At 49.0% G+C, this 25,128-nt stretch overlaps 1 protein-coding gene across 6 annotated transcripts in view, besides 1 other annotated feature; it reads right to left on the bottom strand.

Moving 5' to 3' along the window:
- KIAA1671 overlaps nucleotides 1-25,128 on the bottom strand; it is a 244,733-nt gene that overhangs the window by 148,799 nt on the left and 70,806 nt on the right. For 5 of the 6 annotated variants that reach the window (NM_001386933.1, XM_047441556.1, NM_001145206.2 and 2 more), the window contains 4 exons: nucleotides 22,866-23,017; nucleotides 19,110-20,705; nucleotides 15,954-16,041; nucleotides 7,125-9,890 (listed from right to left, as the gene is read on the bottom strand). In NM_001386933.1, the coding sequence (NP_001373862.1) occupies nucleotides 7,125-9,890; nucleotides 15,954-16,041; nucleotides 19,110-20,650 (4,395 nt within the window). In that variant the 5' untranslated portion in view covers nucleotides 20,651-20,705; nucleotides 22,866-23,017. The remainder of the gene's footprint in view (nucleotides 1-7,124; nucleotides 9,891-15,953; nucleotides 16,042-19,109; nucleotides 20,706-22,865; nucleotides 23,018-25,128) is intronic. The other variant, NM_001386932.1, reaches the window with a different exon arrangement.
- Nucleotides 21,503-22,702: an enhancer, noted in NCBI's record as "CDK7 strongly-dependent group 2 enhancer chr22:25421915-25423114 (GRCh37/hg19 assembly coordinates)". NCBI's record gives its function as "activates an origin of replication core promoter dependent on BRD2, BRD4, P300/CBP, MED14 and CDK7 cofactors, with strong dependence on CDK7, by STARR-seq in HCT116 cells {active_cell/tissue: HCT116}" and the evidence as "EXISTENCE:reporter gene assay evidence [ECO:0000049][PMID:35650434]".

Here is a 25,128-nt window from a genome sequence, read left to right as displayed (position 1 = left end):
CACTTAGTTATATATAGGGGAAACATTCACAGGCCAGGACTCCAGGATGCATATTTTATATGCTTCACACTCTCCCTGCGTGGACAAGGAAACAAAGGCCCAGAGATGGGAGGGAGCTGCTTAAGAACACACAGCACCAGGAAGAGGAAGACTGGATTTCTAATCCCTTCCCTCACAGCCTCTTTTCTGGATGCCTTCAGAGACCCTCTGGTTTTCCTCCTAACCCCCTGGCTCTTTTTGATCAGTGTCCCCACATGTCCCAGGCCAGCCGCAGAGCCATTTCTCCTTTTGCTACATCATTCCCTCTGGGATCTCTCTTCACGCCCCCCATGGCTTTAAATAAATCCCATCTACACCCAGATGCCTGCCAATTCTGTTTCTCAGTGTTGGAACTCCAGACTCGGAGATCCCACTGCTCACTCAACATCTCTTGGAAGCTCACACTCATCTCAGATCCACGTGCTCAAAACATGCGTCTTGATTCCATCTCTCCACAGTTGCTCCTCCCACACCTTGCCCATCCATCCCCCAGCTGGGGAGGCCAAGACCTTCGGGTTGCCCTCCATTCTCCTCCCCATTCTCTCCCACTTTTCTCCACTGCATCAGCAAAGCTGAGACTCTACCTGCAAAACATGCTGCAAATCTGACATACTATATACCAAAATCAACTTGAAATAGATCAAAGACCTAAATGTAAGAGCTAAAGCTAGAAAACTCTTAGAAGAAAATAGAGGTGTAAATCTTCAAGAGCTAGGCTTAGGCAGTGATTTCTTAAATATGATACCAAAGGCATAAACAACAAAAGAACAATAAATAAAATAGACTTCTTCAAAATTAAAAACTTTTGTGCTTTAAAGGGTACCATTAAGAAAGGGAAGGCCAGGCGCAGTAGCTCATGCCTGTAATCCCACCACTTCGGGAGGCCGACGCAGGTGGATCACCTGAGGTCAGGAGTTTGAGACCAGCCTCGCCAACATGGTGAAACCCCGTCTCTACTACAAATACGAAAATTAGCCAGGCATGGTGGCGAGCGCCTGTAATCCCAGCTACTTGGAAGGCTGAGGCAGGAGAATTGCTTGAACCCAGGAGGTGGAGATTGCAGTGAGCCGACATCACACCACTGCACTTCAGCCTGGGCAATAGAGTGAGACTCCATCCATCTCAAAAAAAAAAAAAAAAAAAGGAAAAGAGGCCAGGCATGGTGGTGGTGGCGGCTCACGCCTGTAATCCTAGCACTTTGGGAGGCCAAGGCAGGTTGATCACTTGAGGTCAGGAGTTCAAGACCAGCCTGGGCAACACGGTGAAACCCCATTTCTACTAAAAATATAAAAATCAGCTGGGCAAGGTGGCACATGCCTGTAATCCTTGCAACTCGGGAGGCTGAGGCAGGCGAATTGCTTGAATCCAGGAGGTGGAGGTTGCAGTGAGCCGAGATCATGCCACTGCACTCCAGCCTGGGCAACAGAGCAAGACTCTGTCTCAAAAAAAAAAAAAAAAAGAAAAGAAAAAAAATTAGCCAGGTGTGGTGGCATGTGCTTGTAGTCCCAGCTGCTTGGGAGGCTGAGGTGGGAGGACTGCTCGAGCCCAGGAGGTTGAGGCCGCAGTGAGCCATGATCTCACTACTACACTCCAGCCTGAGTGACAGAGTGAGACGCTGGCTCAAAAAAAAAAAAAAAAACTCTCAAGACACATTATATGAAAAACAGAAAGGTGGAAAATCTGTGGGTTCAACAGAGATCCTCAACCCAAGATTCCCCTGGGGAGCCTTCATAACTAACAAAGGCAGGTCCTACCCCAGAGATTCTGACCTAACTGGCCTGGAGAGAGGCCCAGTCATTGATATCTTTTAGGATTCCCTGTGTTACTCCCATAGGCAACCAAAGTTTCAACCACTTAGAGAAAGTGCTCTTTATTATGGAAAAGTGAAGCAAAAATAAAAATATGTATTTCTATGTGCTTGTATTTTCATAAAGAAGCCTCAAAAGAAAAAAAGGAATTTAAAAAAAAGGAATAAAAGTGATTACCGGGTGGAAGAAATGTAAGCATGGCAGGTATCAGGGGAATGTTTTTTAAGTATTTTTGGAGTGGAGCCATGTGAAATCGTCTCTCTCTTAAAACTAAAATAAATAATTTAAATAAATGAAATACTGTTGGGTCTGGGAAACAGTTTCTATAAATGTCTGTTAAGTGAAGAACAGAGAAAAAGAGAGGAAGGGATGGAGAGAGGAAGGGATGGAGAGAGGAAGGAATCACTTTAATGACCATCACACCCTTTTGGGCTGTAAATCAAGAAACCCTCACCCAAGGAACCAACCTTGTTTCTTTTTCTTCTTCTTTTTTTTTCTCTTGAGACAGAGTCTCGCTCTGTTGCCCAAGCTGGAGTGCAGTGGCACGATCTCCGCTCACTACAATCTCCGCTTCCTGGGTTCAAGCAATTCTCCTGCCTCAGCCTCCTAAGTAGCTGGGTCTACAGGCACCCGCCACCAAGCCCGGCTAATTTTTGTATTTTTAGTAGAGATGGAGTTTCACCATGTTGGCCAGGCTGGTCTCAAACTCCTGACCTCAAGTGATCTGCCAGCCTCGGCCTCCCAAAGTGTTGGGATTACAGATGTGAGCCACTGCACCCGGCACAACCCTGTTTCTAACACACACAAAAATTCAAATCCACCCAAATACCCATCAATGAGAGTCTAGGTTAAAATAGATTGGGCTCAGTCACATAATACAATACTTCGCAACCATTAAAAAGAGGAAGGGGAGGCCGGGTGCAGTGGCTCACGCCTGTAATTCTAGCAGTTTGGGAGGCCAAGACAGGTAGACTGCTTGAGGCCAGGAGTTCAAAACCAGCCTGGTTAACATGGTGAAACCCCATCTCTACTAAAAATACAAAAAATTAGCCAGGAATGGTGGTGTGCACCTGTAGTCCCAGCTACTCAGGAGGCTGAGGCAGGAGAATCACTTGAACCCGGGAGGCGGGGGTTGCAGTGAGCCAAGATCCTGCCACTGCACTCCAGCCTGGGCCACAAGAGCAAAACTCCATCTCAAAAAACAAAAGTAAGCCACAAGATTTTCTATAGACTGTTGTAGTTTTCCATAGAAAGCTTATGTATTTACCTATATCTAAGTCTATGCATTTACCTTTATCTATGTCTGTGTCTAGACCAGGGTTCCTCAACCTACAAACTGCAAACACTTGGGGCTGGAGCATTCTTTGCAGTGGGGGCTGTCTTGTGCCTTGTAGGATGTTGGGCAGCATGCTTGGCTTCTACCCATGAGACGCTAATAGCAACCTCTTCCCAGGGTGTGACAACAACAAAATATGTCTCCAGACACTGCCAAATGTGCCCCAGGGGCAAAATTGCCCATAGTTAAAAACCACTAATGGGCCTAGAGGGGTGTTCCCCAGTTTATGCACCACGCTCAATATTTAAAGGAGATTTTCTCTCTACACCATTTTTCTATAGTATTTCAAAATTTTTTTTTTTCTTTGAGACGGAGTCTCTCTCTGTCGCCCAGGCTGGAGTGCAGTGGCGTGATCTTGGCTCACTGAAAGCTCCGCCTCCCGGGTTCACGCCATTCTCCTGCCTCAGCCTCCGGAGTAGCTGGGACTACAGGCGCCCGCCACTGTGCCCGGCTAATTTTTTTGTAGTTTTAGTAGAGACAGGGTTTCACCGTGTTAGCCAGGATGGTCTCAATCTCCTGACCTCGTGATCCACCCGCCTCGGCCTCCCAAAGTGCTGGGATTACAGGCATGAGCCACCGTGCCCAGCCAGTATTTCACATTTTACGCAAGCATTCGCTACTGTTGCAATATGAAAAGCATGACAATTATGCATATATATATGATTGATAAGTGACTGTCAATATAGGAAAGTCCGAAAGGACATAAACAATGTAATGGTGGCTGCCTCTGGGGGAACACTCACCTTTTATTTTCTATACCCCTGTAAGGTTCAAAATTTTAACAACCAACATTTTTTCCTTCTGTATTGGTGTGTTTTTATTTTTTTTTTTAAGATCAAAGAACCAAAGATCTTTTGGCAGGAGACAAGAGAGAAACGGGAAGCTGGTCCAAGGCTTCCCAATCCCGTGGTGAGAAAACAGATCCCCTGACAACCAGCACTGCTGGGGCCTGCGTGCTCCAGGCAGGCATCCAAGGCTGGGCTGCGGGACAGAGCTGAGCCCAGGATCCCCCCTCCACAACATCCCGACTCCCCCACCACCAGCGGGCCCTGAGCAAGGTGCTGGCAAACATAAGTGTCGCATTTCCTTGGCCTCTTCCTTCTTCCACTGTTACCACAACATCAGCCTGCAGGTAGGGACAGATGAAACCCTTCTCAGGAAGCACACGGGGATGGCCCAAGTTCGGTGCTTTATTTCAATTCAGTCTAATAACAGTGCTTTGGGGCAGGAATCCCTGTTAACTCTGGCATGGCAACTGAGGCCAGGAGAGGCCAAGAGGCTGCTTTACACACAGCAGGCAAGTAGCAGCGTGGAGATTCAGATGCCAAGTCTGCGTGATCCTGCACATGGTGGTTGGAGAGCTTGGCCTCTTGGGAACAGACATGGGTTCAAAGCCTGACTCCATCACTTACCCACTCTTAACTGAAGGCAAATCCTCACCGCATGATCATTACTGACTGTATCCTAGAGTTTCCTTTCTGCAGCATCCACTTCCAGACTGGCCACCTAGTCCCTTTTACAGACAAGAAAACTCGGGTGCAGGGAGGTGAAAGGTTTTGCCCTGTATCACTCAGCTGCAAGTGGCAAAGGAAGAATCTGTGGCCTGATTTGCTGATGCCACATCACACAGGGCGGTGCTAAGTCCATTTCCACATGTCCCCCACAACATTCTACGCTCTTCCCACCTCCAAACCTTTGTCCATGCTGTGCCCTGCTGAGAATGCCCTCACCTCCCCTCATCAGCCCACCCAAAAGCATGGCCAACCCTCAAGCTTGGGCTGAGACCACCGACTCCTCCAGGACACCTTGGGCCACCTCTCCAGTGCCTCCCTCTGCACCCCATCACTCCCCAGTCTTGGATCACAATGGCCCATCTCCCCACAGAGATCAGAAGCTTCAAAGGGTGGTCCTTATGCCTCAGATTTCTTCCCCACCTTCGTGGTTCTTCACCAGAATGGTCTCCTAGAATATGGCCCAGTTGGGTAATTAAGGCCAGATTTGGGTTCAAATACCAGTTTTGTTACTTACTGCTGTGTGACCTGGGACAAGTTATTTCACCTCTCTGAGCCTCTGTTTTTTTCCCCCCATCTGTACAGGAAGATGATCACACAGCAGTAGGTAGTGTCAGCACTCTGCCCAACACTCAGGTATATGCCAAAGATCAAGAGAAGGGGCCCTCTGCCAACACCCTAGAGCCTCACTGATAGATATTTGGGTAGATTTGAATTTGTGTGTGTGTGTTAAAAACAAAGTGGCTTATTTGGGTGAGGGTTTCTTCACAGCTATTCTGCTTATGTACCCCCAAAAGGGTGTGCTTGTAATTAAAGTGATCCCTTCCTCCTTTCCTCCCCACCCCCCACCCTGCCATCCATTCTTCTCTTTCTCTCTGTTCTTCACTGAACAAAGGAAGCCAGATTTTCTTTCTTCTGCTGTGCATGGTGCCAGCCAGGATGGAAAAGTCTGAATGTTCATGACCCCACAAACAGCCTCAGGCAAGGACAGAGGGATTGGAAAATACATACTCCAGGTCCCTTGACCCCTGGACATGACAACTTCAGAGGTGTTCCATGCTGCCTCCCGGGGTCCCCAGTGAGATGTGCCTCTGTGGCCAACCATGGCCCCTGTAGCACCTGCCTCACTTCTTCTCTCCCCTACTGGTTCTTCCTGGGATCACCCCCTTAAAAAGTGCTTACAGGCCGGGCGCAGTGGCTCGCGCCTGTAATCCCAGCACTTTGGGAGGTCAAGGTGGGCGGATCACGAGGTCAGGAGTTCAAGACCGGCCTGGCCAAAATAGTGAAACCCCGTCTCTACTAAAAAAAAAAAATACAAAAAATTAGCCGGGTATGATGGCGGGCTCCTGTAATCCCAGCTACTTGGGAGGCTGAGGCAGGAGAATCGCTTAAACCCAGGAGGCGAAGGTTGCAGTGAGCCAAGATCACACCATTGTATTCCAGCCCAGGTGACAGTGTGAGACTCCGTCTCAAAAAAAAAAAAAAAAAAAAACAAGGGACTGCTGGAACCCAAAACCATGGTGATCCCTCTTTTGAGGCTCACGTAAGATCACTTGTTCACTCATTCAACAAATACTTCTTGAACATTCACAGTATGTCAAGCATGATGCTGGATTCTGGGGACATAATAATGAACAGGATACAACAGGCTATTATACAGCAGGAGCACAATAAAGCTACCATTGATATCTATCATTATCGTCATTGTAGGACAGAAGTGTAAAACAGGTGGCCGGCGCGCTGCATGGGGCTAGCAGACAAGTCTTGTTTGGGCTGAACAGCATTTTTAAAAATAAGTCCTCCTCATTTCCTAATGGGAGGATTACACATAAAAATCTAGATTTTCAGATTCTCTTGATAAATGAGGTTTGCCATCTCAAGGCCAGCATTCCTGCCTGTGAAGAACCAGCTGGGCCAGGCATGGTGGCACACGCCTGTCATCCCAGCACTTTGGGAGGCCGAGGCAGGAGGATCACTTGAGCCCAGGAGTTTGAGACCAGCCTGGGCAACATGGCAAAACCCTGTCTCTACAAAAAATAAAAAATTAGCCAAGCATGGTGGCGCATGCCTGTCATCCCAGCTATTTGGGAGGCTGAGGCGGGAGGATGGCTTGAGCCCAGGAGATTATGGCTGCAGTGAGCCATGATCATGCCACTGCACTCCAGCCTGGGCAACTAAGCAAGACTCTTTGTTTCAAACAAACAAATAAACAAACAAAGAACCAGGTGGGACCAAGCAGCAGTTGTCCAGTTCAGATAGGGCATGAGCTCTCCATTTGCCACAATCCATACCCCTCCCTGGAGCCTCATACCCAGCCTGACTCCACTCATTTATGTACCCAAAGTGGGCCACACAAAATCTGAGTTTCGGCCCCCTAGACTAGATGTTTAAACCATGTTTGACAAAATTAAAAAGTGTCTCGGTACTTACCTTGTGACTGTCTCCAGTCCCTGACTCCCACCAACAGGGTCCCATTTTGGCCTCCAAATTCTCTCCAGTAAGGCTGGGCCTCCCTTTGGGCTGCTCTCGCCTCCTCTCTCTGGCTTCATGCATGATGGACAGGCCCTCTCGGATGTTGGCAGGGGGCCCCTTCTCTGAGTAGGCCCTCTTGATATCCAGCGGCACCCGTCCACAGTCACGTGGGTGGTCACCCCACTGGGCCACACTGTCCTCCTCTCCCCGCCCGGTGGATTTCCTTGGGGTCCCTTTCTTCTGGTCAGTGGGGGGCGATTTGGGTGACACCCTGACCCCACTGCCTGGATCCTCCCGACCAGAGGGCTTTGACTCAGCCAGGTAATTCTGACACTTTGCAACATGATGTTTACTGGCAAAGGCCTTTCTGTCATCCTCAGCAAACCCCGTTTTTTTCCTGGGATCCGCAGGTATAGGAGAGCCCCCTGGATACCTTTCAGAAGGAGCCGAGGGTGGCAGAGCCCAGAAGGGAGGGCTAGATTTGGTGCCCATGGCTGTCTCCAAGGTCTCTGCCAGCTGCTTGCCTAAGCCAGGAGTGAAACTGTGATTTATTTCGGCAGAACTGGCCGGTTTCCAGAGACCCCCGGTATCGGGCATCTCCTTCAGGCTCCTCCTTCTCTGCTCCACCCCGCCCAGCTGAACAGGCCTCTCCCGAGGCAACGTACTGGGCTCCACGGTGGGACTCCTCCTCTCCTGAGCCTCCCCAGGGACTTTCAGCGACAGCTCCTGGTACTCTGCCATCAGGGCGTCAATGTCAAGAACGCTGGATCTGTAGCCATCTCTGATTTTACCTGGGAACGTGTCACTGATCACATCAGTCTTCCTTCTCACAGGAAGATCTTTTGGACGACTCCTCAGAGTCGGGGTGGTTTGGGGAGCTCCGCCGCTGGGGGACATCTTGTTCGCACTTTCCTTCCAATTGCTTTGAGGACGAGGGCCATCTTCTGATCCCCGATGACTCCATAAGGCATCCACATCAATGATTCTTCCATTGAAAGGGTCCAGACTCCAGGCCCCAAGAGATGATGGACGGTCTGTTGGCTTCAGAGTTTTTAAAATGCTTGCATTTTCATGCTCTCGTCCCTTCATCCAGTTTTTACTGCCTGCCATCTCCAATGCCTCTTCATGACCAAGAGAAACCAAAGTGGATGTTAAAGAATGAGGAGACGAGGGTGGAGTGATTTTTCTAGAATGTTCCAGCAAGCTTTCAGCTCCTGACAGAACCACACCCTTTGCCTTTTGAGTATTGGGAATCTGATAGGTGACTGCAAAAAATGTCGCCTTGGGTTCCACAGGTGACCCTTGCTTCACTGCTGGGGAAGTCTGGTCCCGTGAAGCACCTGGGTTCACCTCCTGGGTCTCCACCCTGTAGTGGGATAGTTGAGGTTTTCTTAAGGCACTGGCTGTGGGGCTCACATAATCTGTTCGTCTGTGCCCCACATGTGGAGAGTCCTCTGGGACAAGAGAACTGAATGTATCAAATTTCACGTTGGGGGGTAAAGTCCGCCGCCGCCATCTGTCCATTCTCTGGTCCATGGCGCCGGCTTTCCGCATTCTGACTGCAGGCTGTGGCACCTGGGCCGGCCCTGGATCACCCTCCCTGGCGGCTACAATGAAGGGCCCTTTCTGCACAGCAAATGCATCTGGATGTGTTCGTGCTTGGGAGTCAGAAGGCCCATTCGTAGCCCTGGAAAGAGGATCGAGGGGGCATCCCTGGGGTGGGCCCCTTGCTCCCACTCCTGGCTTGCTTCTGGCCCCCTCTGGCCCCTCATGCTGGCTTTCCCAGATGGCAGCCTTGATAGCCCTGACGGAGGTGGCCCCGGGAGCACAGTGCTCTTCGCTGACTGCCACGGTGGCTTTGTGCGAGCTCACCACTGCCCCGCCTGTCCATTTGGGAAACGGGCAATTGCCCCCAAACTTCGGTCCACTAGCCTCAGGCATGCCTCGAGCTTCCCAAATCAAACTGGCCCTTTGGACGGACCCCGCCTGACCTTCCAAACCACACTCCAGGTCAGCAGGGGTGACCTCCTGGGACAGCTGCCTGTCCTTCAGTGAGAGCCAAGACCTGAGGCTGCGGAGCGTGACCGCTTTCTCCTCCGGTGCCGGTGAGATGGCCTCGCTGTGCACACGCTCTCCCACTGCATGCACAATGTCATATCTGGGCTCAATTCTCTGCGATGTGGGAGGATTTTCCAAGTGTTTGAGGAAGGTGTTATTATTGTGGTTTTCAGACAAAGGGTATTTGTCCCGGAGAGGCGTGTGATACGGTCTCAGTTCACCATTCAAAAGGGTGGTTGGTCCCAATTTCTCCGTCTCGGGATTGTCAAACCCTCTGGAGTTCTCTTTCTTCAGTTTTGTCATGTCTGGTGGGTCCCTGCCCAGCCAAGAGCCCATCTCAGGCCTCGGCCTGGGTTCTGAGACACGGGCATGGGCCATGTCACCAGGGGGTGTGGTGGAGAGACAACGTCCCGACTGGTCAGCCACTGTGTGTCTCTCCACGTGGTGCTCAAATACTGTGGCCCACACAGTCTGGAAGCTCCGGTCATCCTCTGGAGTGACGTCAGAAGGGCACGGGGCCTCCACTGAGCTTCCACCGCGACAGCTGTCGGGGTCTTGGTTAGAGCTAACCTTCTGCTCCGTCTGCCTGGACTTATCCCGGAGTGTCCCAGGCTTCCAGGGGCTTCTCGGGATGCATGCTCCATCCAAACTGTGCCCCTCCTTTTGCTGGAAAGAAACAAAAAGAAAAAGAAACACCTCAGTGTTTAAGGATTTGAGATGGAAAGGAAAAAGTGGAGTAATTGAAAGGGCTGCTTGTATAATTAAAACAATGAAATACCATAAAATTGAAAAGAATGAACACACCCAGTGTGGGTGAGGATGTGGGGAAATGGACACTCAGATACTGTTGGAGAGAACATAAATGAACCCGACTTTGGGCAAAGCAATGTATCTATCCTGATGTTAAAATACTCATTTCCTTTTATCCGGCCAAGTTCCTCCCAGGACTTTGTCCACATGCACAAGCCTACACAAACAAGAAAGTTGAGACAGCACCGTTGGTGCAAGCAAAAGAACACAGAAACAACCTGAATGCTCACTGGAAAAGCATTGGCTAAATTTCAATTATCTCCAAACGATGGACTACTGCACAGGCATTTGTTACCACAGAAAGAGGCAGATCCAGCCAGGCGCGGTGGCTCACGCCTGTAATCTCAGCACTTTGGGAGGCTGAGATGGGAGAATCGCTTAAGTCCAGGAGTCCAAGACCAGCCTGGGCAAAATAGTGAGACCTTGTCTACACCAAAAAAATAAAATAAAATAATAATAATCTTTTAAAAGGAATTAAAGGCCAGGTGCGGTGGCTCAAACCTGTAATCCTAGCACTTTGGGAGGCCAAAGCAAGTGGATCACCTAAGCTCAGGAATTCAAGACTCCAGCCTGGTCAACATGGTGAAACCCCGTTCTCTACTAAAAATACTAGCTGGGTGTCGTGGCACACGGCTGTAATCCCAGCAACTCAGGAGGCTGAGGCAAGAGAATTGCTTGAACCTGGAGGGCGGAGATTGCAGTGAGCCGAGGTCGTGCCACTGCACTCCAGCCTGGGTGACAGAGTGAGTCTCTGTCTAAAAAAATAAATAAATAAAAGGAATTAAATACTGATTCATCCTACACCGTGGATGAATTTTGAAAATACTATGCTAAGCAAAAGAAGCCAGTCAAAAAGCTATATAAGACTCCATTTATATACAGCATATATATAAATATAAATATATATACACATCATAGGTAAATCCATAGACAGAAAGTGGATTACTGGATGCCTGGGAATGGGAGACGAGGACACAAGGTTTCCATTTGAGGTGATAGAAGATTCTGGAACTAGATAGTGGTGATGCTTACATAATACTGAAAACGTCCTTAATGCCACTCAGTTGTGCACTTTAAAATGGTTATAATAAGGCCAGGGGCACAGTTTGCTAACCCCTACTGTAGATGATGGAATGCCATTGAAGTGCTCTAAAAACACTGACTGTAAACCTTTGTTGAAATATATACACACACATATATATACACACATATATACATATATACATATATACACATATATACATATATACACATATATATTTTTTTGCAATATACACATATATACATATTTTTGTGATGGAGTCTTGCTCTTTTGCCCAGGCTGGAGTGCAATGGCACGATCTCGGCTCACTGCAACCTCCGCCTTCCGGATTCAAGCGATTTTTCTGCCTCAGCCTCCCGAGTAGCTGAAAGTGCAGGCATGCATCACTACACCCAGCCAATTTTTGTGTTTTTAGTAGTGACGGCATTTCACCACGTTGGCCAGGCTGGTCTTGAACTGCTGACTTCAAGTGATCCACCTGCCTCAGCCTCCCAAAGTGTTGAGATTACAAACACAAGCCACCGCACCTGGACTGTTTATATTTTAATACGTAAATTTTACATAAACAATACATGAATCCATTTTGATTGTAAAGGAATCCAAACAATACAAAGTTCAAAGCTTTTTTTATTTTTTATTTTTATTTTTTGAGATGGAGTTTCGCTCTTGTCACCCAGGCTGGAGTACAATGGCGCGATCTCGGCTCACCGCAATCTCTGCCTCCCAGATTCAAGTGATTCTCCTGCCTCAGCCTCCCGAGTGGCTGGGATTACAGGCATGCACCACCACGCCTGGCTAATTTTTTTTTTGTATTTTTAGTACAGATGGGGTTTCTCCATGTTGGTCAGGCTGGTGTTGAACTCCCAACCTCAGGTGAACCACCCACCTTGGCTTCCCGAAGTGCTGGGATTACAGGTGTGAGCCACCACGCCCGGCCAAAGTTCAAATCATTTTTGTTCCCTTGTTCAAATACCAGTCCCTTTTCTTGGATAACAGCTATTACCAATGGGTTATGATCCTTGAAGAGCCTTTCAGAACTCTCTTTGTATTATTTATATATATATTAGAAAGACCGAATTTTTGAAACTTTGTAAATTTTGTAAATTTCACAAATTCATTATTTTTCTTTAAAAATAGTTAAAATGATATATTTTATGTTATGTGTACTTTTTTTCTTTTTAAAGGCAGGATTTCAGCCAGGTACGGTAGCTCATGCCTGCAATCTCAGCACTTTGGGAGGCCGAGGCGGGTGGATCACCTGAGGTCGGGAGTTCGAGACCAGCCTGACCAACATGGAGAAACCCTGTCTCTACTAAAAACACAAAATTAGCCAGGTGTGGTGGCGCATGCCTGTAATCCCAGCTACTCAGGAGGCTGAGGCAGGAGAATCGCTTGAACCCAGGAGGCAGAGGTTGCAGTGAGCTGAGATTGTGCCATTGCACTCCAGCCTGGGCAACAAGAGCGAAATTCCATCTCTAAAAAAATAAATAAATAAATAAAATAAAGACAGCATCTCGCTCTGTTGCCCAGGTTGGAGTGCAGTGGTATAATCAGAGCTCACTGCAGCCTCAAACTCCTGGCCTCAAGCAATCTTCCCACCTTGGCCTCCTAAAGTTCTGGGATTATAGGCATGAGCCACCACATCCAGCCTGTTATGTGTATTTTACTACAATAAACACACCCACATACACACACACATAAAGTCTACTTATAGAGATAAAATCTCATCACATGTAAAGCAAGGGTTTATTTCTTAACTATTCCTTTCTTTAAAGTTTTAAACATACACAAAATTACAGAGAAAATAATGAACTTGCCCAACCCATCCCCCCAATTTAATGACAATCAACATTTTGCCACTCTCGCCACACACAGCCTTTTTGCCCTTGCTGCTGCTGTCACTACAGCATTTTAATACAAATATAAGGAGCTTTAATTACTTAAATGGTATCACTCCTAACCATTTTCAAAGAAATGATTCAGAAAATGCAACAATAAAACTTGCAGGGCAAACCGCTGCCTCCAAGAGTGGTGGTGGGTATTGCCATTCAAAGCCAGCCCACTTTTGTTGGTGATGTACTGAGATGGGTACAAGCTTGAAACCAAGCACTGGTGTTATTTTTAAAACTCCACGGAAGTTTCTTAAAACATAAAACATGCATCTACCATATGATCCAGCCATTCTACTCCTAGATGTTTACCCAAGAGAAAAGAAAATAGAAGTCCTGGCCGGACGCGGTGGCTCACACCTATAATCCCAGCATTTTGGGAGGCCAAGGCAGGCAGATCACCTGAGGTCAGGAGTTCAAGACTGGCCTGGCCAACATGGTGAAACCCCATCTCTACTAAAAATACAAAAAATTAAGTGGGCATAGAGGCACGTGCCTGTAGTCCCCAGCTACTCAGGAGGCTGAGGCAGGAGAATTACTTGAACCCAGGAGGCAGAGGTTGCAGTGGGCTGAGATCACGTGACTGTACTATCCCAGGCAACAGAGTAAGACTCTGTCTCAAAAATTAGAAAAAAAAAAAAAAAAAAAGGCCAGGCGCAGTGGCTTATGCCTGTAGTCCCAGCACTTTGGGAGGCCGAGGCAGGTGGCTCACAAGGTCAGGAGATGGAGACCATCCTGGCTAACACGGTGAAACCCCATCTCTACTAAAAATACAAAAAATTAGCCAGGCGTGGTGGCGGGCCTCTGTAGTCCCAGCTACTCAGGAGGCTGAGGCAGGAGAATGGTGTGAACCCAGGAGGCGGAGCTTGCAGTGAGCCGAGATCGCGCCATTGCACTCCAGCCTGGGCAACAGAGCGAGACTCCATCTCAAAAATGAAAAATAATAATAAATTAAAAAATTAAAAAAGAAAAAGAAAAGAAAAGAAATAGAAGCTCTTACAAAGCCTTGTCCACAAATGTTCACAGCAGCTTCACTGGTAATTGCCCCAAACAGATAACAACCCAATTGTCCATCAAAAGGTGAATGGATAAACGAATTGTGGTCTACTCACACAAATAGAATACTAGTCAGCAACAGAAAGGAATGAACTACTGATACATGCTACACCATGAATGATCTCAACATAATTACTCTGAGTGAACAAGCAAGGGCAAAAAAAAAAAGAGGACTGATTCCATTTATACTAAAGTCTAGAAAATGCAAACTAATCTACACGGACAGAAAGCAGACCTGTGATGGGCTGGGAAGAGCAGGGGAAGGGAGAGATTACAACGTCGTGGCCGGGTGTGGTGGCTCACACTTGTAACCCCAGCACTTTTGGAGGCCGAGGTGGGTGGATCACTTGAGGTCAGGAGTGCAAGACCAGCCTGGCCAACACAGCGAAACCCCGTCTCTACTAAAAATGCAAAAATTAGCCAGGCGTGGTAGTGGGTGCCTGTAATCCAAGCTACTCGGGAGGCTGAGGCAGGAGAATCACTTGAACCTGGGAGGTGGATGTTGCTGTGAGCCAAGATCGCACCACTGCACTCTAGCCTGGGCAACAAGCAAAACTCCGTTTCCAAAAAAAAAAAAAAACAAAGTGGCATGAGGAACCTTTTGCCTGGGATGGAGATGTTCGCTATTCTGACTGTGATGGTGGTTTCACAGGTTGTACACACATAGGAAACTCACCAAGTTGAATGTGTTAAATCTGTGCTCTTTCCTGTATGTCAATTGTATCTCAAAGCTGTTTTTAAAAAAACTGGGCCAGGCACGGTGGCTCACACCTGTAATCTCAGCACTTTGGGAGGCCGAAGCGGGCAGATCACGAGGTCAGGAGATCGAGACCATCCTGGCTAACATGGTGAAACCCCAACTCTACTAAAAATACAAAAGAAATAAGCCGGGCATGGTGGCGGGCACCTGTAGTCCCAGCTACTTGGGAGGCTGAGGCAGGAGAATTGCTTGAACCCGGGAGGCGGAGCTTGCAGCGAGCCGAGATCACATCACTGCACTCCAGCCTGAGCGACAGAGGGAGACTCCATCAAAAAAAAAAAAAAAAAAAAAAAACGAAAACAAACCAACCAAAAAAACAACTAAGACTCTGCAGAAAGCATCAACCACAAACCGGTTTTCGCTAGGAGACAATTTTATGAGTTTTCTCTTATTAAAAAGATGAAATAAAAATACTTTTCAAGCAATTTAATTGCTGGTAACCTACTTCTTTTTGTTTTAATTTACATTTTTATTCTTTTAGAGACAAGTCTCACTCTGTCGCCCAGGCTAGAGTGCAGTGGCATGATCATGGCTCACTGCAGCCTCAAAGTCCTGAGCTCAAGCAATCCTCCTGCCTCAGCCTTAACTAGAACTATAGGCATGCACAACCACATCTGGCTAATTAAAAAAAATTTTTTTTTTCTTTTAGAGATAAGAGTCTCACTATGTTGCCCAGGCTGGTCTCAAACTCTTGGGCTCAAGCAATCCTCCCTCCACCTCAGCCTCCCAAAGTGCTGGGATTACAAATGTGAGCCACTGTGCCCAGCCACCTACTTCTTCCTTCTATGGCTAGGTGGTAAGTAAGGGGAAGGCAATAAGAACCACTATGAAGGACCTTGAAGGAGTTTCTATTAACATCTTAAACCTAAATTTTAGTATTTTAACAAAGCAGGCACTCCTATATAAGAAAGCCATGCCCCTCTGCCTCTTTGCGAAGAAAAAAAATGCCTGATAACATTTGTAAACAGCATTTAACACCTGGGAGTAGGGAATCACAACTCTTCATGCCAAAAGGGACTTCAAAGTCCCAACATTAGAAGAAAAAATGTTTTATCGTGTGCATGACATGTTTCTGAGTCTTCCTGGGGCCTAGAAGATCATGGAGGCTCTTTCTCCAGCAGCCATAACTGCCCGCTGGTTAATGAGAGACGTGCTACACAGCCACTCCTTACCTTTTCTCTCGGTTCCTTAGGAAACTCGCCGCTCAGCTCAGCACTCTTCTCATATTTGACTTCGTTGCTGGAAGCTGAACTTGAAAACCTGGTACAGAGATCTGAGTTACCTTCATGGAGCTGGAAGCTGTTATTCCCCCCAGCCCACACACCAGCTCAGGAGGCCAGGCCAAGTAACCTTCAGAAAGGACATTTCCTTTCCACTTACCAAAAGGAGAACTGCCCAGTGGGGAGAGCCTACCTCAAACACAGCATTACTGGGGTGGAGGAGCCCCAGCTGGGGGAAGACACCCAGGTGCTAGTCCCAGCTCTACTGCCTCTTCACTGGGGGAGCTTGGTTTAGGCTTGTGACCTCACCTGAGCCTCTGTTTCTTCATCTATAAAACAGGGATAATTAACACCTCCCCATCCCTTTTATGGGGCAGATAAGAGGCTACTCAAGGCCCTAATAGCTACGTGAGGGCGTTTAGGGAAGAGTGAAGATGCCCCAGGAGGGATAATGAATGGCTGTTGTTAGCAGTGCCAGGTAAAACAGCAGCCCCACCTCAGAGCAGCCCCCAGACTGAAGGGTAGTGGGCTGTCAGGGAATGTGTGGGGGCCCAGGTCTGTCTCTGCCTCTCTGGATCACCAGGGCCCTCTTTGGGCCTCGTTTTCCCCACCTCAAAAAGGGAAGAGGGTGTGGAGCTAGAATCTTTCCATCTCTGGAGAGCATTCTGGTGTAAATACCTGAAGATGTAGCACGTGTTTAGTTCAAAGCTGGGGACTGAAGAAAAGGAAAGGGAGAGAAATCAAACCACTTAAACTTAACCCATACTCAGCAACCCAGGGTCTGTCTCCTGGGATATGTGAGGCTGAGAGGAGTTCTGTCTAAACTCAGAGCCTCAGTTTCCCCACCTGTCAGATGGGGATAATCACACGGCCTCTCCAAGGCTCTTCCATGACATAGTGAGAGGAAGCATATTAGGACCGTGGCATAGGTGTCCTTCTCTGATATCTTAATTCAGGGGTTGTCAGCCCCGGCTACACATAAGATCGACTTGGAAGCTTTTAAAAACTACCAAAATACAGGCCGGGTGCCGTGGCTCATGCCTGTAATCCCAGCACTTTGGGAGGCTGAGGCGGGCAGATCATGAGGTCAGAAGTTCGAGAACAGCCTGACTAACATGGTGAAACCCCGTCTCTACTAAAAATACAAAAATTAGGCCGGGCGTGGTGGCTCACGCCTGTAATCCCAGCACTTTGGAAGGCTGAGGCGGGCGGATCACGAGGTCAGGAGATCGAGACCATCCTGACTAACACGGTGAAACCTCATCTCTACTAAAAATGCAAAAAATTAGCTGGGCGTGGTGGCTGACGCCTGTAGTCCCAGCTACTTGGGAGGCTGAGGCAGGAGAATGGCGTGAACCTGGGAGGCGGAGCTTGCAGCGAGCCAAGATCGTGCCACTGCTCTGGCCTCAGCGGCAGAGCGAGACTCCGTCTCAAAAAAAAAAAAAAAAAAAAAAATTAGCTGGGTGTGGTGGCGCGTGCCTGTAATCCCAGCTACTGCGGAGGCTGAGGCAGGAGAATCACTTGAACCCGGGAGGTGGAGGTTGCAGTGGGCCGAGATTGCAACACTGCACTCCAGCCTGGGTCACAAAAATAAATAAATAAATAAAAATAAAAAATAAAATAAAAACTACCAAAATAGAACACCCTCCCCAGACCAAGTGAATCGGAATCTCTAGGGGTGGGGCCCAGGCACTGGTATTTTTTCCGGTTATTCTAAAGTACTGAGGGCCAGTGGTCTAGCTTTGGCTTGGCTGGCTGTCCTGGTTCCCAGGGCCGGGAGGGCAGTCTGCCCAGAGATCCTGCCTTTGCAAGCTCCACCCTGGACAAAGTATGTCAGTGGCATGCATGCCATTAAGAGCCAGTCGATCATGCCGAGTGGCATCTCTCTGTTGTGGCCACTTGTGGGAAAACAAAGAAGAGATGTCGGAAGTGGGCCAAGTTTAGAATATCATTATTAACCAACCGACTTAGAATATCATTATTAGCCATCTGACTTAGAATATCATTATTAACTAACTTAGAACATCAGTATTAACCAACTGACTTAGAACATCAGTATTAACCAAATGACTAAGAATATCTTTTTTGTTTTTGTTTTTTGGTGTTTTTTTTTTGAGACGGAGTCTTGCTCTGTTGTCCAGGCTGGAGTGGAGTGGTGTGATCTCGGCTCACTGCAACCTCTGCCTCCCGAGTTCAAGCGATTCTCCTGCCTCAGCCTCCTGAGTAGCTGGGACTACAGGCGCCTGCCACCACGCCTGGCTAATTTTTGTATTTTTAGTAGAGACAGAGTTTTACCATGTTGGCCAGGCTGGTCTCAAACTCCTGACCTTGTGATCCACCCGCCTCGGCCTCCCGAAGTGCTGGGATTACAGGCATGAGCCACCGCGCCCGGCCTAGAACATCATTATTAACCAACTGACTTAGAACATCATTATTAACCAAATGACTTAGAACATCGGTATTAACCAGCTGACTTAGAACATCGGTATTAACCAACTGATTGACAACATCGGTATTAACCAACTGACTTAGAGTATCATTATTAACCAACTGACTTAAGAGTATCAGTATTAACGAACTGACTTAGAATATCATTATTAACCAAATGACGTAGAATATCAGTATTAACCAACTGACTAGCCCAAGTTACCTTGACTCCTCTGAGTTTATTTTTTGGGCCACTCATAAAGGCTTAGGCCCAATCTTAAGCGTTCTCTCTCTGACTTCAGGGAAGAAAGGCTTAGCTATGGAGACAGGCTGAGCTGGAATGCCATCCAGCTCCCACCTCCCCACAGTATTTCACCCTTCTGCCCTGCCTCCATGAAATGGGCACATACCGCCCACTTCACTCACACACTACATCTGAAGCTGAGAAAAGCCATGAAAATTGGGCTCCGGGCCCCCCGGCTGGCCATACCCAGAGGAGAGCTGCACTGCCTCTCCGCACCTCACCTTTCTCATCTGAGAAATGGACACTGCCACTACCTCCTCTTGGGCTATGGGTAAACTGAGGGGGGGTGACAAGTGCCCAGCATGGAGCCTGGTTCCGTCTTCCTCAGGGTGTGTGGGTGGGCGGCTGAGAGAGGGGTGTGGGATGTGCCTACTTACAATTTGGTCAAATCCGCCGACAGCGGCCGAGCCTGGAACGTCCTCCTCCTGACCTCGGGCTTAGCCTCTGAGCTCTCGGCAGTCCAGCCTCTGATCCGTTCCTGAACGCTCACAACCCCTTTCTCCGGCTCTGGTGCCGCCGATGGGGACGCAGGGGTGGCCAGGGGAGATTCAGACCCCACTGCCAAGGCCAAGGTGCTGTCCTCCCGAAACAGGCTGATGCACTTCCTGACACTCCTCCTGGAGGCCCACTCTCCCCCTGCCGCGGCCTCCCCATCCGCCACTCTGCTCTTAACCTCAGCAAGTTCTAGGCCCCTTCCCAGCCTGGGTGAGGGGGACTCAGCAGCCTTCTCTGGCTCTGGGTCCAGCTTGGCCTTTTCTTCCCAGGGACTCTGGTCATTGCTGGGGGTGACCCCAGATGAGCCCCCCACCAGGGCTCTGGGGCTGCCCATCTCCGGCTTCGAAAGCATCTTCTCCTTCCGTTCACGGATTTTCTTGGCCACCTCCAGGAAGTCCAAATCAGGATCATGAAGAGGAGCCTCCGCCTTGACCAAACAGTCCCTGTCCAGCTTGGACGCTGCTCTGGGCCTCTCTAGCCCAGCCATATCCCCTGCTGTGGGTCCACTTCCTTCATCGGCCACCTTCCTCAGCAAGGCCTCTTTGTTCTCAAACCGGGCCGTGAGGTCCATGGACAAGGGCCTGGGCTTCCTCACCCACGTCTTCTCGGGAGGGGTGGGTGGCACTTTGCCCACTGTGGCCGCTGCGCCGGGGCCTGGCTTCTGAGGCTGAATGGACTCCGTGAAAATGGCAGACACGGGCCTTCTCTTCAGGCGAGGCCTGGGCTCCACAAGGGGGCGTGCCGTGTCCTCCACACTGCTGGCCTTTGAGGGAGGATGGTCTTGGCCTGCCTCCTCTTGGGGTACAGGTGGTTTTGTGTCCTGAGACAGGGGAGCTGACCGGGGAAGGGTCCCCGCAGGCTTCTGGGTGGGCAGGGCGGGCTTGGCAGCCACCTCAGGCCGGGAGCCGGACACACCTAGCTTGGCCTCCTCCGCCCCCTCACTAACCGCCTTCCCCAGAGCGGGGCCGCTTTTGGTGGTTTCGAAGAGAATCATGGTGCTGGAGCTGGGCCGCAGGAACACAGCCTTGTTGAAGAGGGGCGAGCTCGTCCTCGGGCCCTCCCCACTGCCCACCTCCTGCCCCACCAAGCCGGGCATCCTGTTGTCCAGATCCTTTGCTGCTGGCTCCTCAGAGAGCCCCCCAGAGGGGGAAGGTCCAGTCGAACTGGGCCGCAGAGACGGGACAGGAGATTTCACGTCCTGCTCCTTCGAGAAGGGTTTGGGGGCGAGCCTTGGCAGAGGGAGTAACCGGGCCGGGCTCCGCAGGGGGCTCTTCGCTTCCAAGATCCGGGCTGGGGGAGCCCCAGAGGCTTCGCCGGCCTGGAGGAAGTAGGTCCTCGTCAGGGTCTCCTCCTTGCCCATCTCACCCAGGCCTGGCACGGCCGTCAAGGGCGTTATGGAGCCCACCTCGACCCGCGTGGCCATGGTTATGGTTGTGGATTCATGGGGGTTAGGAACTTCAAGAATGGAGAAGCAATTGCTAAACAAACAAAACAAACAAACAAGTAAATTTGGAAAACAGTCAGTGTCTGGGTTGAAGCAGAATGGTTTAGAGAAATGGGACAGAGTCCTGAGCCCCAGATTCCATACGACAGCCCTCTGCTGACCTCACCCGGCAGGCTTGGGCCTGCCTCTCCCCGTCTCTGAGCTCTGGACGAGGGGAGTGGACTAAACGCCCATCCCTGAAGTTCGTTCCAGCTCCAAGGGTGTAGAAAAGGCATCAACACTCTGGAGGACTTTCCCCTGACAGCTAATCTAGAGGCCAGCACTTAATGGCAAAAAGCAGTGATCTCTGCTACACAGATAAGGAAACCAGCTCAGAGAGGCCAAGTAACTGGAGTCACCCAGGAAGCAAGAGGCGAAGTCAGGACTTAAAACCAGGTTTGACACCAAATTCACACCACACATGCTCCTCCCTGAATAGGCCTCAGTGGGAGCGTCCTCACATTCCCTCACTCCTGTTACCCTGTTTTCCCACTGCAGAGCCTGCCCACATCCCAGGTGATCCTAATCACAAGTGTGTGCTAAGCATCTAGCACAGAGAAGGCAAGTAACCTGCTGCAGGTCACACAGCAATGCAGCTCAGGAGTGCCTGGGAGCACAAAGCTGGTTAGTGACCTTGGAACCCATGCCCTAGGCACCAACCCCACCCAATCATCCCTTTGTCCCTTTTCTTTCCCCTCCCCCACCCTTCCAGATGCCATAAAAAGAAGCCATTCTCATTTTTCTCACTCAACCTGCTTTCATTATTTGTTTGCTTTGTGGTTCTTTTCTGTTGAACACGCATATTATGCTGACTGCCTTCATACTCTTAATAGAAAGAGAAACGCCCAACAGTGAGGTCTTCCCATGAGTGAGATCTCGAGCTATGCCACATGCTTCTTGTGTTTTATACATCTCATCCTCCTCACAACCCTATTTAGTGGGTACAATTAGGAGACCCCATTTTGTAGTAGCTTGGGGCATAAGCCTCTTGTTCACCCTGCTATGAGATCTGTTTTCGCAAAGCAGGGGACCTCCTCTCTCATTAACCCTCCAGCAACTCCAAAAGTCAAGAATGAAGGAATGATCGTTATCTCCCTCATGGAGATGAAGGGAAAGGGCCCAGAGAGGTCGCCAGACTTGCCTACGATCACCCAGCTGAAACCTAACCTCAAGTCCACCACCCACTTAGCTCTGTCTTTTTTTTTTTTTGAGACCAAGTTTCACTCTTGCTGCCCAGGCTGGAGTGCAATGGCGCGACCTTGGCTCACAGCAACTTCTGCCTCCCAGGTTCAAGCCATTCTCCTGCCTCAGCTTCCGGAGTAGCTGGGATTACAGGCATGTGCCACCACGCCCAGGTAATTTTGTGGTTTTAGTAGAGGTGGGGTTTCTCCATGTTGGCCAGGCTGGTCTCGAACTCCTGACCTCAGGGGATCCGCCCACCTCAGCCTCCCAAAGTGCTGAGATTACAGGCTTGAGCCACCACACCCAGCCTCAGCTCTGTCTTTTTAAAAATTATTTTTTATTCCTTTCTGGTCTTAAAAAGTGCCAGGTAAGTTGCTGTTCTCGATCCCCCAGGCTCTCTTCATGCCAGTGTTTTCTTCCCTGTGAAACTGCCCCCAGCCAGCCCCCACCTAGATGGACTAAAAAAGTAGAAGGTATTTTAGTTAAACACAAGCCTCTCCACTTCCCTTCCTTGGGGCCCCACACTGCTCCCCCGGCTCTGACTCACTCAGCAGCCTCCAGGAAAGAAAGGCAGACAGATTTTGATATTTTCTCTTCCTTACACGCTCGATGGTGCTAACAGATTCCATCTCCCCAAACTGGAGAACACTGTCTAGACACGGTTAGAGGTAGAATGGAGGGACAGATATGAAGAATCTGAGAATTGGAGAATTTCCATACACAAAGATCCCAACCAGAGTTCTAAGGCTCCAGAATCCCACCCAGAATCAGGGCCATTGGCCTTTTGGGAGAGCAGCTGTGACCTCTGGAAACCCTGATTGAGGATACATATGTAATAGCCAGGACATGAGACACAGAACAATGACAGGATTCAAAGGACAGAGAGAAAATTCTCTGGCAGAACTCACAGGCACTCTCCATGCCCTTGGACACTCCAGCCCTCAAGCTTGGGTCAAGCATGGGCCCCACTTACCCAAGCTGGCAGGCCCTGGGTCAGGGGGTGTGACTGCCGGGAAAAGCCAGTAGTGTCACATGTCATCATGAATGGGGCTGTCCACACACTTCCATGGCAGAAACAAGAAGGGGGAAAGAAGACTCGTCCCAGCAGGCTGAGTTTCAGCAGGTCTAAGGAGACACAGGATGACAGCCTCAGTTCCGGAGTTCTGGCAGTATGGGAACAGACGGCACAAAAGCTTTCAAGCTCCAAATGCATCCGCTGGCATCTACTCCAGCTTGTAAAACGTATGCTCCTTTTGGCTTTTCGATTTTGTAGCCTTATATGTACGTGTGCATAAATAGTGCTGAGCCCACAGTACGTGCTCAATAAAAATCTTCCCTGTTCTCTGATACATTTATTAAGCACCTACGGTGTGTACAAAGATGAGCATGAAACATCCCCTGCAACCATGCAACTCACAGTCTTCTGTAAGAAACACACATACACACACAAGCAATTACAACTGGGTAACAAATGTCACTTTTTAAATGCAGGATGTGGGGGCAAATAGGACTGATTGCCTAGAATTGGAACTGGTGGTCCTGCATAACTCACTTGACTTAGAGGAGGTAGCTACTGAGCATTCGAGGTGCTGACTCACTTGGTAGCTGCTACCAAGTGATGTGCTTCACTTGGTAGCTGCTACCAAGTGATGTGCTTCACTTGGTAGCTACATTAGCGGTATTTGGACATTGTACCTCTTTGAAGCCCTCCAAATGCCTCCTCAGGGCCTTTGCACATGCTATGCCTGTTCTCTGGGACAACCATCTTGCTCACACACAGACACAGACCACAGTTCACACATCTCTGTCTCCCTTCAACCCGGTACAACCCCCTCCTACCTGTTCACAGAGCACCACATACACTCGGAGGCTTGGCAGGACTTAGCATAGCTACACTGTTACATTTAATACGACATCATCCTTCACATCAGCCTCTCCCATTCAATGGTAAGCCCCGCCAGAGGACACCCCAAATCCCTAGTGGCTAGCACAGCAGCCTGGCACATAAAAGCACCAGATACATGATTACTGAATAGAGAAATAAATCATTGCTGAGTTAATAAGTAAATGAATGAAGAAATATTCTTCTGCCCCTGCTGCCCACTCTCTAAGATGCTAAATAAGTCCAGATACCATGAGTCTCATGCCAAATGACTCTAAGCAATCTGGGACATAAGATGAGTTACTCTAGCTGTGGCTGTGGCTACTGAATGACAGAATCAAAAAGCTGTGAAGTGCTCAGCCAGAGGCTCAATCCACCAATCCTCACCCAGGGACCCCTATCAGTTTCACAAGCCAGAGGCTCAATCTACCAACCCTCACCCAAAGACCTCTATCAGTTTCACTGGGCCACACAGAGGAGCTCCACCCCGAGGGCAGGCACCTGCTACATCCACATTAACCTCACACTGTCACACCAGCTCACCTGCCCAAATGTGGAATGAATGCTTCTCTGCATGGATTTTCCTGGGAAAAGAGTCACCAAGAGCAACTGTTTGCTGAATTAGGATCAATGGTACACAAATGTCACCCCACTTTGGGAACCTTGAACCCACCTCAGGGACTATACTGCATGGAAGTAAAAGGAGAAGGACAAGATAAATTAAGTCCCTTGGTCCACGCTCCTCTACACCAAACAGTGCCTCTGTGACCCGTCATCTGCTTTGTATCTTGAACTGCCTCTCAAGTTACCATTGCAAATGCCTAGCAGATGTCTGATATGTAAACACAGTTGCACAAATGAGTCAATGAATGAATTAATAAATCAATGAACAAAGAAAAGTAAAAGGAGTTTTTTGGGATTTTTTTTTTTTGAAACAGAGTTTCACTCTGTCACCCAGGCTGGAGTGCAATGGCGTGATCTCAGCTCACTGCAACCTCTGCCTCCCAGGTTCGAGCAATTCTCCCGCCTCAGCCTCCTGAGTAGCTGGGACTACAGGTGCATGCCACCACACCTGCCTGATTTTTATATTTTTGGTAGAGACGGGGTTTCACTATGTTGGCCAGGCTGGTCTTGAAATCCTGACTTTGTGATCCGCCCGCCTCGGCCTTCCAAAGTGCTGGGATTGAGCCACCGCACCCGGCCTAGTAAAAGGAGTTTTTAAACCACCATAGTAGATGGCTCCGTAATATTTTAAAGTCCTAGCCAAACCTAGAAACCTATGATTCTCAGGTTTTCATTTAACCTGCTGTAAAATACAGGGAAACCAATTTAACTGTATGCTTTGAAGTCTTCT

This window comes from Homo sapiens, chromosome 22, assembly GCF_000001405.40.
Source record: "Homo sapiens chromosome 22, GRCh38.p14 Primary Assembly".
NCBI classification, from domain to species: Eukaryota; Metazoa; Chordata; class Mammalia; order Primates; family Hominidae; genus Homo; species Homo sapiens.
This window is presented reverse-complemented; position numbering and strand designations above follow the sequence as displayed.